The sequence below is a fragment of the Homo sapiens genome, chromosome 17, assembly GCF_000001405.40.
Source record: "Homo sapiens chromosome 17, GRCh38.p14 Primary Assembly".
Classification (NCBI taxonomy): Eukaryota; Metazoa; Chordata; class Mammalia; order Primates; family Hominidae; genus Homo; species Homo sapiens.
The window spans coordinates 75,072,959-75,087,384 of NC_000017.11; the positions used below are offsets into that span (position 1 = coordinate 75,072,959).

The following is a 14,426-nucleotide window of genomic DNA, read 5'->3' on the forward strand; positions in this document are numbered from 1 at the left end:
GCTTGATCCGGGAGGCAGAGGTTGAAGTGAGCCAAGACTGCACCACTGCACTCCAGCCTGGGCAACAGAGTGAGACTCTGTCTCAAAAAAAAAAAAACCAAATTGTGTTTAATATACTGTATATATATATATATACATATTTATTTATTTATTTATTTATTTATTTATTTATTTATTTATTTTGAGTCTCTGGATGGCAGTAACTCAGTCTCAGCTCACTGTAACCTCCACCTGTCAGGTTCAAGCAATCCTCCTGCCTCAGCCTCCCAATTAGCTGGGATTACAAGCATGCACCACCACGCCCGGCCTATATATATATATACTTTTTTTTTTTTGAGATGGAGTCTTGCTCTGTCGCCCAGGCTGGTGTGCAATGGGGTGATCTTGGCTCACTGCAACCTCTGCCTCCCAGGTTCAAGCTATTCTCCTGCCTCAGCCTCCTGAGTACCTGGGATTACAGGCGCGCGCCACCACACCCAGCTAATTTTTGTATTTTTAGTAGAGACGGGGTTTCACCGTGTTGGCCAGGATGGTCTCGATCTCCTGACCTCAAGTGATCTGCCCCCCTGGGCCTCTCAAAGTGCTGGGATTTACAGGCGTGAGCCACCTCACCCGGCTGACACTTTTTTCATTGCAAGATTTTGTAGCCTCAGCTACTCAGGAGGCTGAGGTGGGAAGATGGCTTAAGCTGGGAATATGGCTTCAGCCAGGGAGGCAGACAGAGGTTGCAGTGAGCTGAGATTGCACCACTGTGCTCCAGCCTGGGGGACAAAGCGAGACACTGCCTTAAAAAAAAAAAAAAGACTTTGTCAGTGAAGGAAGGACTACATTGATTTACAACCTGGCATGAGCTTCTTATGTTGCTAAGAGCCAGCAGTGGTTCATGGACAGCACTTGGAATTGCACTGTTGTGTAATATAACAATGAAAATCCCCGTTGCTGGGATAGGTGGAGACTAAAGGCTTATGTGGGACTTGGGCCTGGCAGCACTGCCGCAGGGCGCCCACACGGCTGTATACCTGCTATGCCCCTTCTGGCCCTGCTGCCTCCTGAGCTCTCCAAGGCCCTTTCCTGTGGCCTGAAACCCTATGATCATCACTGTTAGGAGCAAATAACCTGATTCCTTCGAATTAGAGACAGGCTCTCAGGGAGTGGGAGCAGCCCTCCAAGCAGAGGGCTAGGCCGTGGGCCATCCAGCACTGCACCCTCATTCTCATTAAGCTGAGCAGAAGAATGAATGAGGGATGTCTCTTCTGGGCTCGGACATGGGCCTGTTTGCAGTAGGGCTTCTCTGAGGCCACCTCTCTGAATCAGGGGCCCCTCCTCCTCTCCCCCAACACCTTACCCCAGGTCGAGGTTCAAAAGGTCCAGGACACTGTGGGGAAGCAGATGCTGATCATCGCTGCTGACGGCCAAAAGCACCAGGGTCGGGTGGCCTTTCTCTCAGTAAGGTTGGCCCACCCCACCCCAGGCCCAGGCTTCCCCAGTGCCCTGCATCAGGCTGCAGGGACCTCCCAGGACTCTGAGTGGATGGCATGGGACCAGGCAGTCAGGGACAGGATGCCTAGGTGGGCTCCGGGCTGTGACAGTGGTGGTGCTGGAGTGGAGCTCACGGACGCCTCTCTACACACCCCACAACCTCCAGGAACTGATCCAGACAATGCGAGGTGAGGCGAACACCCACTTCTCGGAGATCATCAGGAGGTCAAACAGCTGCAGATGCAGATCTTGGATTTCGTGGAGAAAGAGGAAGCAGCCGCCCTGGGGATGCTGAGCAGCTCCATCCAGCAGAGCCACAACCGGCTCCTGAAGCTGGAAGGAGACAGCGTCTGGCTCCACACCCTGCTCATCAACCAGAGTGACCAGCAACGTCTGCAGGCAAGGTCCCAGCCCTCTGCCTCTGGCTCAGGCCCCATCGCAGCTTCCACTCTCCCTCCACCCACAAACACATCAGATCTCGGTCGGGAGTGGTGGCTCATGCCTGTAATCCCAGCATTGTGAGAGGCCGAGGCAGGCGGATCACCTGAGGTCAGGAGTTGGAGACCAGCCTGACCAACATGGTGAAATCCCACCTCTACTAAAAATACAAAAATTAGCCAGGCTTGGTGGCAGGCGCCTGTAATCCCATCTACTCGGGAGGCTGAGGCAGGAGAATCACTTGAACCTGGGAGACGGAGGTTGCAGTGAGCTGAGATCATGCATTGCACTCCAGCCTGGGCAACAAGAGCACAACTCCATCTCAAAAAAAAAAAACCACAAAACACACACACACACACACACACAGCCGGGTGCGGTGGCTCACGCCTGTAATCCCAGCACTTTGGGAGGCCGAGGCGGACAGATCACCCGAGGTTGGCAGTTCGAGACCACCCTGACCAAACATGGAGAAACCCCGTCTCTACTAAAAATACAAAAATTAGCTGGGTGTGGTGGCACATGCCTGTAATCCTGACTGCTCAGGAGGCTGAGGCAGGAGAATTGCTTGAACCCAGGAGGCGGAGGTTGCGGTGAGCCGGAGATTGCGCCACTGCACTCCAGCCTAGGCAACAAGAGCGAAACTCCGTCTCAAAAACACACACACACACACACACACACACACACACACACACAGATCAGCCTTTAGGGTGCATCACTGTGTCCATTCCCCTGCCTCAGGGAGCCTCCCCATTCCAGGTCTTCTGTCTTGAGCTTGCACGAACACCCTTGGCTTTCTCCACTTCAGAGCTCAGCCTTACCCTAACTTTCCTGCCTTGGTTTTCCTGGAACACATGGGATTCCAGGCATCTAGCACAGCCTAAGTTTCTCCAGACTTCCCTGGATCATGGCTGAGAGTGAGACCAGAACAATCTGTATAGCCTGGATTGAAATCCCTTTTCCAGCCCAGGAGGTGGAGGTTGCAGTGACCCAAGACTGCACCATTGCACTCCAGCCTGGGCAACAAACTAAGACTCTGTCTCAAAAAAAGAAAAAAAAAAAGAATCGTGAAATCCCTTTTCCTTCCCCAATCCTGGCCTGGCCCTGAAGCCTGGACTGATGCTGCTGTAAGTAGCGGGTGGGGCCAAGCAGCAGCCTTTTCTGGACGGTGCCTGGAGTTGCCCAAACCCTGTGCTTGGGAACTCCAGCTTCCTTTAAGCTGCCATCACACCCTGGGCAGACATCTAGGGCAACTGCTCACTTTGTCCCCTGTGCACAATGGGAAGCATTTGGCAATGGCTTTTACTAAGCAGTTCAAGGCACAACAAAAATCCTCCCATCATTTTCTGAAAATCCCCTTTGCCTAATGCACACTAGGCCACAGTGGCCAAGCCCTTGGCAAAGCCCTGACCTCTGATGTCCAAATAGCTAGGAGGAGGGAAAGGAGATGCCCAGGTTTGGAAAGGGGAAGCTTCTGCTCCACCGGCCCATGGTTCTGGAGGCCTCTGGGCCTGTGGCATCGGCCTAGGTCCTGGCTAACAGGTGGTACCTCTGGCCCCTCCCTGCATCCAGGGGTTCCTCCGACTGAAGCAGTTCTCAGCCTGCATGGAACCCCTGATGGGCATCAACTGTGAGGAAACGCAGAGCTTCCCCCAGCTGCCAGAGACCCTGGCTGAGCTCTGGATGCGGCTGCTGGACATGGGCCTCAGCTTCTTTAACCAGCTCTCAAAGTTCTGGGATTACAGGATTACAGGCGTGAGCCACCGCGCCTGGCCTTTTTTTTTTTTTTTTTTTTTTGAGACAGACTCTCGCTCTGTCTCCCAGGCTGGAGTGGAATGGCGCCATCTCGGCTCACTGCAACCTCCCCCTCCTGGGTACAAGTGATTCTCCTGCCTCAGCCTCCCGAGTAGCTGGGACTACAGGTGCCTGCCACCATGTCTTGCCAATTTTTTTGTATTTTTATTAGAGATGGAGTTTCACCATGTTGGTCAGGCTGGTCTTGAATTCATGACCTCAAGTGATCCGTCCGCCTTGGCCTCCCAAAGTGCTGGGATTACAGGCGTGAGCCACCTCGCTGGGCCCCCACTCAGTCTTGTGTGCCTGAACAAATACAAAGGGAGACGATGTTAGGGTCTGATGGCGGGGGAGGAGGGCGACCTGGGGCAGCACCCACTCACCCTCCAGGCTGTGTCTGAGCAGCGGGCTGAGTTTGGGGACAGGAGCGTGGGTGGAAGCATCCCCTGACTTGTATGCAAATGCCTTGCAAGCCAGCGTCCTGCCCTGGAGGCTGCTGACCCTGCTTCCCCACCTCCACCCGCCAGGTTACTGCAACCTGAACTTTGACCCCGCCACCGCCGGCGACGAGCTGTTCCAGCTCTAGGAGACCCGCTGGGTGCTGAACCTGGGGATCCTCCTGGAGCCCCTGACAGGGGGCGGCCCCTTCCCGGGCTTCAAGCAGTGACCGCAGATGCTGTGCTCGCGCGGCCTGTCCGAGGGCCGCCACTAGGACGGGAGGTGGAGGTGTCCAACTCGTGGGTGTGCCTGGGCGTCACCTACCCCCGCAGCTCCCCGCTCGGCGGCCGCCCGAGCCGCAGCGTGGTCTACCTGCTGGGCCGCAACCCCTTCTCGTGGTGCCTGGAGTGGGACGACAACGCGCAGACCGTGCTGCACGGCGCCTACCACCGCACGCTGGGCGTGGCGCTCGACTGCGACGCCGGCGGCTTGTCCTTCTACGGCCTGGCGGGTGGCGCCAGCCTCTTCTACCGCTTCCTGGCAGCCTTCCTCGAGCCGCTCTACCCCGCGGTCATGGTCAGCAGCGGCGCCTCGGCCACGCTCAAGCGGCGCCCGGAGCCCGCGCCGCCCGTGACAGCACCCCATAAATAAACCTGGACTTATCTAAGCGCTGGCTGGCGCGCCAGGACGGTTCCCGGCCCTGCGCCATCCCACCTCCCAAAACGCAGGCGACCCTTTCTCGCCACAGCCACAGGAGGGCTCTAATCCGGCTAGAGTTCCCCCAGGCACTGGGGACAGTCCCGTGGCCTTGTGGGTGGGGGATTCCTGACTGCGGTGCACAGCCCACTCCCAAACCCCATCCCAGCAGCGTCCTCTGGCCTTGGTTCTCCAGGCTGGTCTTGGCCGCTTGGCACTGGGGCCTGTGCCAAAGGCCTTGTCGTCTGAGAGGGGGCAAGGTTTGGGCCAGGTGGTCAGACTGAGAGGTGGCGCCAGCTGGATTGGGGTACGGGTGGGCTGTCTGAGTGGCTTCATTGTCGCCTGAGAGGTTAAACTGGAGGAGCCCAGGCCTACCTCAGATCCAAAAATGTTGGGCTGGGGACCCAAGCCCAGGCAGGGGTGGGGCTGCTGCCCAGAGCAGAGCTGCTCACTCAGCTGGTGTTTTACAGCCCAGAGGGGGTGTGACACTATCGCGGGTGAGTAAACCTTAAACCCCCTCCACCCTGCTGAGTGCTGCTGAAAGCTGCTCCCCCATCCCCAGCCATCACCAACCCACTCAGCTCCCAGAAGGTAGCACTGCTCACAGCAGAGGGGCTACGTCCATATCCAGGCCTCTGCCATGCGACCAGAGGCTGAATCCAGGCCGAGACCCTGCCAGGGGACCCTGGCCAGGCCATGACTGAGAACTCAGCTCCTCTGTCTGGGGAAGCGGAAGATTTGGGTGCACCATGGAGCCACCTCCACATTTCCAGCCTCAACCAGCCACTTGTTCCTGTGGCTTCTCAAGCAAGGGTTCTCAGCGAGGTTAATGATTGGCTCTGAAGAGGAACTGATACAAATCACTGAAGAAAAAAATCCCAAGGGCAACGAATTCCAGAACCAGCCCACGCGGTGCCCCAGGGGTGTTCCTGAATTCCGTCTCCACCTGGCCTGTTCCGGGAAAAATTAGTGACCCGGTTTTTCCTTCAAGGTGGTCATTTTGGAGCCAGGAGGGCACAGGGGGAGCAGAGTGTTCTCTGAAGGTTGGTGGGGGCGGGGGGGCTCCTCTGAGGAAGCCCTGGCTACAGCCTCGTGGTAGCCTTTCTCCCTGGAGCCTTCGCTCAGCTCTGAGCCCAGTGACTCATTCCCCACAGGCTGCTGCCCCTGTGAAGTAAGGAATGAGCTCGAATTCTTTGCCCCTTATTAAAAGACCTTTTACCCAAAATCCACATCTTGCCTCCCCACCCCACAGTCTTCCTCCTGGCACCAGTGGCCACAGGCTTCTGCAGAGGAGCGCTCAGGTCAGGAAATGCTGAAAAGGTGAGTGCATGACCCAAGTGGGTAGCAGCAGCCGCATACATCTCAGAGTCTTCCCACATCACGGGGCTGGCAAGGACAGGGGCTTCCTCGCCAAGTCCTCCCCGCTCTGAAAGACACTTGGTGGCAGGATGGTGCGTGACACCCTCAGGCACACATCCAAATGTCCCGGGGATGATACTTGCTCTCAAACAGCTGTTCCTTATTTGGGGGAGTCCTGGGCCCCCATAGGTCCGCAATGGTGGTCCTGAGGGTCCTGAAACTCTTTTCAGTATTTCCACGAGCCAGATGGCAAGCAGGCCTGTGCTTTCAAGGAGGCAGGTTAGCAAACCGAATGTCAGGGTGTCTGGTCTCTGCCTGGCCTGTTCCTGGAGAAATTAGTGACCCAGGTTTCAGCCTGTGCTTCATGGGGGAAAACATCACAGGGCGGGCAGGCGTGGTGGCGCATGCCTCTAATCTCAGCATTTTGGGAAGCTGAAGCAAGAGGATCACTTGAGCCTAGGAGTTCCAGACCAGCCTGGGCAATTAGCTGGGTGTGGTCACACATCTGTGACCAGGCCAGGCTGGTCTTGAACTCCTGACCTCGTGATCCACCCGCCTCGGCCTCCCAAAGTGCTGGGATTACAGGTGTAAGCCACCGCACCCGGCCGGAAATGTTTTTCAAATAATCCTTGGAGGCAGATTTGTTTACAGCCTGTTTGGATTTAGCCTGAGTGCTAAAGCAGGACCGGAAGAGTGAGTGGGTGGCATTCAGGGACAGTCCCTGCCCTGGGCCCCACAGTGGGGGAAAAGGGAGGGGCAGGGTCCACTGATGTGGGTTATTCATGAGCACTGGCTGAACTTGCTGCCCCCAAAGAGCCCTTCTGTGATTTTTTTTTTTTTTTTTAAGCAGGTTCTCCCTCTGTCACCCAGGCTGGAGTGCAGTGGCATGATTACAGCTCACTGCAGTCTCAACCTCCTGGGCTCAAGCGATCCTCCCGCCTCAGCCTCCTGAGTAGCTGGGACCACAGGTGCAGGTCACCATGCCAGGCTAATTTTTCATTTGTTGTAGAGATGGGGTATCACTATGTTACCCAGGCTGGTCTACACTTTCTGACTATAAAAGTAATTCTGCATTTATGTAATGTACTTCCATAGTGCCTACAATGTGCCAGCCACCGTTCATAGCAAATAGAATGTTAATAAGTATGAACTTGCCAGGCAAGGTGGTTCACGCCTATAATCCCAGCACTTTGGGAGGCCAAGGCGGGCAGATCACCTGAGGTCAGGAGTTCAAGACCACCCTGGCCAACATGGTGAAACCATATCCCTACTAAAAATACAAAAATTACCCGGGCATGGTGGTGTGCGCCTGTAATTCCAGCTACTTGGGAGGCTGAGGTAGGAGAATCACTTGAACCCAGGAGGTGGAGGTTGCAGTGAGCCAAGATCACACCACTGTACTCCAGCCTGGGGACAGAGGGAGACTCCAGCTCAAAAAAAAAAAAAAAAAAAAAGTACGAACTCATTCAATTCTCATAACCCTACAAATATGTATCATTAATTATCCCCATTTGTATGGTTGAGGAAACTGAGGGATGAGAGGATAAAGGACTTGCCCGAGGTCATGAAGGTATGCAAGTTAGGAAGCCAGGATTCAAACCCAGGCAGTCTGCTTTTTTAATCACTGTACTACACCACTTCTCTTATAATGCATACATTGTAGAAAATCTACACAACATAGAAACACATAAAATAAAACCTGCTGGGCATGGTGGCTCATGCCTGTGACCCCAGCACTTTGGGAGGCCGAGGCAAGTGGATCACTTGACGCCAGGAGTTCAAGACCATCCTGGCCAACATGGCAAAACCCCATCTCTACTAAAAATACAAAAAATTAGCTGGGTGTGGTGGCGTGCACCTGTAGTCCCAGCTACTCAGGAGGCTGAGGCAGGAGAATGGCGTCAACCCAGAAGGCAGAGGTTGCAGTGAGCAGAGATTACATCACTGCACTCCAGCTTGCGCAACAGAGTGAGACTCCCATCTCAAAAAAGAAAAAAAAAACACTCATAATCCTACCCCCAAAAGATAGCCTCTCCTGCAGTATTTCCTTCCAGTCTATAATAGACAGAGCAATGTAACAGCTGCAAATGTAGGAAGCTAGAAGACAGAGTAACAGGTCATATGGTACTTTTTTTTTTTTAAAGAGATGAAGTCTCACTATGTTGCCTAGGCTGGTCTCGAACTCCTGAGCTCAAGTGATCCACCTCAGCCTCCCTAAGTACTAGGATTACAGGCATGAGCCACCATACCCAGCCTGAGCCACCACACCATATGGTACATTTTCACCAGTATCCATACTGTGCATATTTTCCCAAATTACTGTCAAAATAGAAAAAGGGCTTGTTTATTTTAATCATGAGACAAAAACGGGCTTGTTCACTGGCAGCATATTATTAATACATCCTACAAATCTGTCCAATAGCTTTGTTTTGTCCTTAATCTCTTCCCTGGTTCCCACTACAAGTGGGTGACAAGAGGCAACCCAGTCAAAGCCATATATGTTGCTTCCTGGATGTTACTCCAAGTTTGACCCAGACTCCTCGGGAGGGTCCAAGTAGAGCCAAAGAACCTGGAGGCATCCCATCATCCCATTTTCACAGGCGGGAGGAAGCAGGGAGCAAGACCAGATGGCAGGAGACTGGGGAAGGAGCCTTTAACCCTTTCCTCCCAAGGGCAGTGTGCTCAGGGCTGGGCTGGAAGGGAGAGGGTGTCTGTGGGAACCTCAACAGAGGCCCTGCCTGGCATACCATGGGTACCCGATGACTGTCAGGAGCATCTTTCCCAAGAGAACATAAGCTCACCTCTGCACTTTTCCTGGGATGGAAGGCAGCTGATGGCAACCCGGACCAGGCTCCACCAGCTAAGGAGAGGTGGGCCGTCTTCAGCCCGCCCTGCCAGCCCAGTCCTTCCCCCATTTCTTTCCAGCTCCCTACCATGAACACCTGTCTCCATAACTCCCATTGTCTTCATCACCAGCCCCCTTCATCCCCACTCTTACCCCACTCCATTCCACCCCCAAAGCATCCCACCTCCTGGCCTTTTTGCTCATGCCGTCCTCTCTGCCTGAAGCACCCTTCACACCCACCCCCTGCTTGTGTTATTCCCACTCATTCCCTAAGACTCAGCTAAGTGTTCCAGGAAGTCTCAGTCTCCACTCTCCAAGCCAGGCGGGTTTGCCTCGCATCTGCTCCATAATACCCTTTGCACATGTGCCCCCTGCCACCCACGTTGTCCTGTTTCATGTGTGAATTCACCATCAGACTCAGGGGTCAGCTGGGTATGTCATGCCTATGACTCCAATGCTTCACGCGTGCCTGACACACAGCAGATGCTTAATAGTAGTGGACCCGAGAACTAAGGAACCCTTCCAGAGGTTGGAGGTTGGGGACCACTGCAGATCCCTTCCTGGGCCAGGCTGGGTGTGGATGGCCCAGGCATGCTTGCTTCCCTCCTTCCTTCCCCTCTCGTGCCATCCCCTTCGTCCCTTCTGAAGCTGAGTCCATGTACCCACTGCATCTAGGCAGGACAAAGAAACTGCCTGTCTCCTTCTGTGTCCATTTTGACCTCCCTGTAGCCTGAAGATTCTTGAGCCTGAGGACCCTCCTGAGCAGGTGGGTCAGGGGAGAGACACGTGCCTCTCCCAGCCTGTTGCCTGATGTGTAAAACGGCATGCATAGGGATGCCATTCATATTGACTGAGGCTTATATGACTCCAGGGCTTCTCAGATGACTAGGGGGTTGGGAAACACAGGCGTTGTGAGCGGGGCAGTGACCAGAGTGAGGAAAGTGAGACAGTCACCTGGAGTGCAACATTTAAGGGAAGGCATCAAAAACTTAGCAATCAAGATAAATTAAATAATATTGGCCAGGCGTGGTGGCTCATGCCTGTAATCCTAGCACTTTGGGAGGCCGAGGCAGGCAGATCTCCTGAGGTCAGGAGTTTGAGACCAGCCTGGCCAACATGGTGAAACCCTGTCTTTACTAAAAATACAAAAATTAGGGAGGCTGAGACAGGAGACTCACTTGAACCTGGAAGGCAGAGGTTGCAGTGAGCCAAGATCACGTCATTGCACTCCAGCCTGGGCAACAGGAGTGAAACTCCCTCTAAAAAAAAAAAAGAAAAAATTAGCCAGATGTGGTGGCGCATGCCTGTAATTCCAGCTACTGGGGAGTTTGAGACAGGAGAATTGCTTGAATCCAGGAGGTGGAGGTTGCAGTGAGCCAAGATCGTGCCACTTCACTCCAGCCAGGGCAACGGAGCAAAACTCGGTCTCAAAAACATAAATAAAAAAAAAAATAAAATAAAATAAAATAAGAACAGATCGCTGGGCGCAGTGGCTCACGCCTGTAATCCCAGCACTTTGGGAGGCTGAGGCGGGTGGATCACAAGGTCAGGAGATCGAGACCATCCTGGCTAACACACTGAAACCCCGTCTCTACTAAAAAATACAAAAAATTAGCCGGGCGTGGTGGCAGGCGCTTGTAGTCCCAGCTACTCGGGAGGCTGAGGCAGGAGAATGGCGTGAACCTGGGAGGCGGAGCTTGCAGTGAACGGAGATCGCACCACTGCACTCCAGCCTGGGCAACAGAGCGAGAATCTGTCTCAAAAAAAAAAAAAGAACAGATCTGACCTGACCTGGCACTCCCTGCCAAACTCCTCTCAAAGGAATTCACTCGCTGGTTCCAATGAAATTTTATTCACAAAGCCAGGTAACTGCCCCAAGGCCCATGGATTGCTGATGGGATTTTCTAACAATATTGCATTAACTTTTTGTCTTAATTACTGAGCTTTTTTGGTGTCCCCTAATATTCTGAGCCGGAGGTGAGTGGCTCAGTCACCTCATCCTAGCAGGGGATGTCACAGACAAGGAGGGGGTGTCAGGGATGCCAAATGTTCTGCAATGCTCAAGTCCTGCCCCCAACACAGATAGCGCCCCTGTTGTTGGTAATGTGTTGGTATAGCAACACTGCGTGAAAAGTGATGAAAAGTGAAATAACATTCCTGGAGCCAGTTGCTCACTCTTGCCAAAGTAAATTAGAATCAAAGTGTCAGAAGTCAGTGTCAGGGGCACTGGTTAGAAGGCTTTTGGGTCCTTGCCAAGTGTTTCTGGAAGCTGCATCTTTCTCGTTGACATTTCCTGTCTGGAGGTCAAAGGCCTTGTTGCCTTTGAGTTTCACACAGCGAACCACACAGCTGGAGATGGTTCAATTTCTGCCCGGTTTGCTTCAGTGCTCTGTAAGTGTCCCGTGAGTGGCTCCTGTGGGCCAGGCACAAGGCTCCGCAGGGTGGGTGCGGTGGGGAGCAACGTAGATCCATTCCCTGCCCCCACCGCAGCTCAGGGGTTTGGGGGAACAGACCCTAAGGTTGGTCACAGTGGTGCCCACACTAAGCTACACACTGAGATAAAGGCTTTTCAGGGCTGGGCGTGGTGGCTCACACCTGCAATCTCAGCACTTTGGGAGGCCGAGGCAGGCGGATCACTTGAGGCCAGGAGTTCGAGACCAGACTGACCAACATGGTGAAACCCTGTCTCTACTAAAAATACAAAAATTAGCCAGGTGTGGAGGCGGGCGCCTGTAATTCCAGCTACTTGGGAGGCTGAGGCAGGAGAATTGCTTGAACCTGGGAGGTAGAGGTTGCAGTGAGCTGAGATCGTGTGGTTCCACTCCAGCCTGGGCGACTGACCGAGACTCCATCTCAAAAAATATATATATATATATATTTCCATCCTTAAAGTAAACAAAGATAGGACACAAAAAGAATGAACTGTAGGAAAAAAATATATAAACTGGACTTCATCAAAACTAAAAACTTTTGCTCTTCAAAAGATACTGTTAAGATAATTGTGCTGGTGCCGTGGCTCACACCTGTAATCCCAGCACTCTGGGAGGCCAAGGCAGGCGGATCATGAGGTCAAGAGATCGAGACCATCCTGGCCAACATGGTGAAACCCTGTCTCTACTAAAAATACAAACATTAGCTGGGCATGGTGGCACGCACCTGTAGTCCCAGCTACTCAGGAGGCTGAGGCAGGAGAATCGCTTGAACCTTGGAGGCAGAGGTTGCAGTGAGCTGAGATTGTGCCACTGCACTCCAGCCTGGTGACGGAGCAGGACTCCATCTCAAAAAAAAAAAAAAAAAAAAAATTGGTTGGGCGCAGTGGCTCACACCTGTAATCCCAGCACTTTGGGAGGCTGAGGTCGGTGGATCACTTGAGGTCAGCAGTTCAAGATCAGCCTGGCCAACACGGTGAAACCCTGTCTCTACTAAAAATACAAAAATTAGCCGGGCATGGTGGCATGAGCCTGTAATCCCAGCTACTCAGGAGGCTGAGGCAGGAGAATCGCTTGAACCTGGGACACGAAGGTTGCAGTGAGCTGAGATTGTGCCACGGCACTCCAGCCTGAGTGACAGAGTGAGACTCTGTCTCAAAAAAAAAAAAAAAAGAAAGAAAGAAATTGCGGTTTAGGGGTCATGCAGCCCCTGGCTGCAGGAGTCTGAATCTTCCCAGATTGCTCCTGGGGATAACATCATTATTGCAAAATCTAAGATCAGTGCTTGAGATATTTTGTAGACTCTGAACTCCATGGATCAGCTGACACCACCCAGACTGGTAATCTGACTCAGCCACTTCTGCCATCCAACCCAGGAACAGAGGACAGCAAGAAAACCTCACTTCAACCCCTTATGAGTCCATCTCCAACCTGACCAATCAGCACTCCCCACTTCCCCAGCACCTACCCACCAAATTATCTTTAAAAACTCTGATCCCCAAATACTCAGGGAGACTGATTTGAGTAGTAATAAAACTCCCGTCTTCCACGCAGCCAGCTCTGCATGAATTAGTCTTTCTCTATTGCAATCCCCCGTTTTGATAAATCGGGTTTGTCTAGGCAGCGGGCAAGGTGAACCCACTGGGTGGTTACAGTGGCTGAGGTCAGTGAGTGAGGAAGAATGATTTGAGGCCAGAAAGGTGGGTAAGCGCCAGGCTTGGAAGGGCCCTGTAGCCACCCCAGGGGCTCACCTTCATCTCCAAGGCCTGCAGGGTTTCAGTTTTTTGTTTTTTTGTTGTTTTTTTTTTGAGACCAAGTTTCACTCTCATCACCCAGGCTGGAGTGCAATGGCACGATCTCAGCTCACTGCAACCTCCACCTCCTGGGTTCAAGTGATTCTCTTGCCTCAGTCTCCCAAGTAGCTGGGATTACAGGCATGCGCCACCACACCCGGCTAATTTTTGTATTTTTGGTAGAGACCGAGTTTCACCATGTTAGCCAGGCTGGTCTCGAACTTCTGACCTCAGACGCCCCTCCCGCCTCAGCCTCCCAAAGTGCTGAGATTACAGGCATGAGCCACCGCGCCTGGCCAAGGCCTGCAGGGTTTTAAGCAGGGTTGGCAGTAGGGCAAGATCAGGCTTAATGGATCCGAAAGATCAGTCACCTACAGTGTTGAAAAGGAATCTGAGGTCTGAGCTGGACAACGGGTGGCGGTGGATGGTGTGGGGATGGAGATGAGGGTAAATGGTCAGGTTTGAGAAACAGTAAGGGGGTAAAGTGAGTGGGACGTCGTTGTGGATTGGTTGTGAAAGAGGCAAAGGTCAAAGAGACTCATGGGATTTGGCCCAGGCACCTAAGTAGATGTGGTGCTGTAATTTGCTCAAGCATGGAGCACATAAGGTATCCCAGGTTTAGCAGGGGGCGGCAGAGGACAGTGTCAATGGCAAGTTCCGGTCAGTGTTGAGTTTTAAAGGCCTTTGAGGCACACAAGGATAGGTTCCAGGTTGAATATCTGGACTGGACATAAAAGGCACCGGATCCTGAGTATACAGGGTGTGGTTGGAGTCACCATGTGGAGTGAGAAGAGGGAGGGTGAAGGTCTGAGGCTGTGAAACTCCATCGTCCACAGATCAAAAATAAACAAGGCCGGGTGCGGTGCTCATGCCTGTAATCCCAGCACTTTGAGAAGCCGAGGCGGGTGGATCACCTGAGGTCAGGAGTTCAAGACCAGCCTGGCCAACATGGTGAAACCCCATCTCTACTAAAAATACAAAAATTACCCGGGTGCCGTGGCGTGCACTTGCAATCCTAGCTACTCAGGAGGCTGAGGCAGGAGAATTGCTTGAACCCAGAAGGCGGAGGCTGCAGTGAGCTGAGGTCGCGCCGCTGCACTCCAGCGTGGGCAACAGAGCGAGACTCCCGGCCAACTGAGTACATTTCAACTAATGCAC

General features: G+C 53.2%; 1 pseudogene, besides 3 other annotated features; it reads left to right on the forward strand.

Moving 5' to 3' along the window:
- Nucleotides 1,348–6,591, forward strand: TRIM80P (tripartite motif containing 80, pseudogene; annotated as a pseudogene).
- Nucleotides 5,388–5,617: an enhancer, noted in NCBI's record as "active region_12733". NCBI's record gives its function as "activates an Ori minimal core promoter by ATAC-STARR-seq in GM12878 lymphoblastoid cells {active_cell/tissue: GM12878}" and the evidence as "EXISTENCE:reporter gene assay evidence [ECO:0000049][PMID:35858748]".
- Nucleotides 5,388–6,674: a biological region, named in NCBI's record as "CDK7 strongly-dependent group 2 enhancer GRCh37_chr17:73074528-73075727".
- Nucleotides 5,475–6,674: an enhancer, noted in NCBI's record as "CDK7 strongly-dependent group 2 enhancer chr17:73074528-73075727 (GRCh37/hg19 assembly coordinates)". NCBI's record gives its function as "activates an origin of replication core promoter dependent on BRD2, BRD4, P300/CBP, MED14 and CDK7 cofactors, with strong dependence on CDK7, by STARR-seq in HCT116 cells {active_cell/tissue: HCT116}" and the evidence as "EXISTENCE:reporter gene assay evidence [ECO:0000049][PMID:35650434]".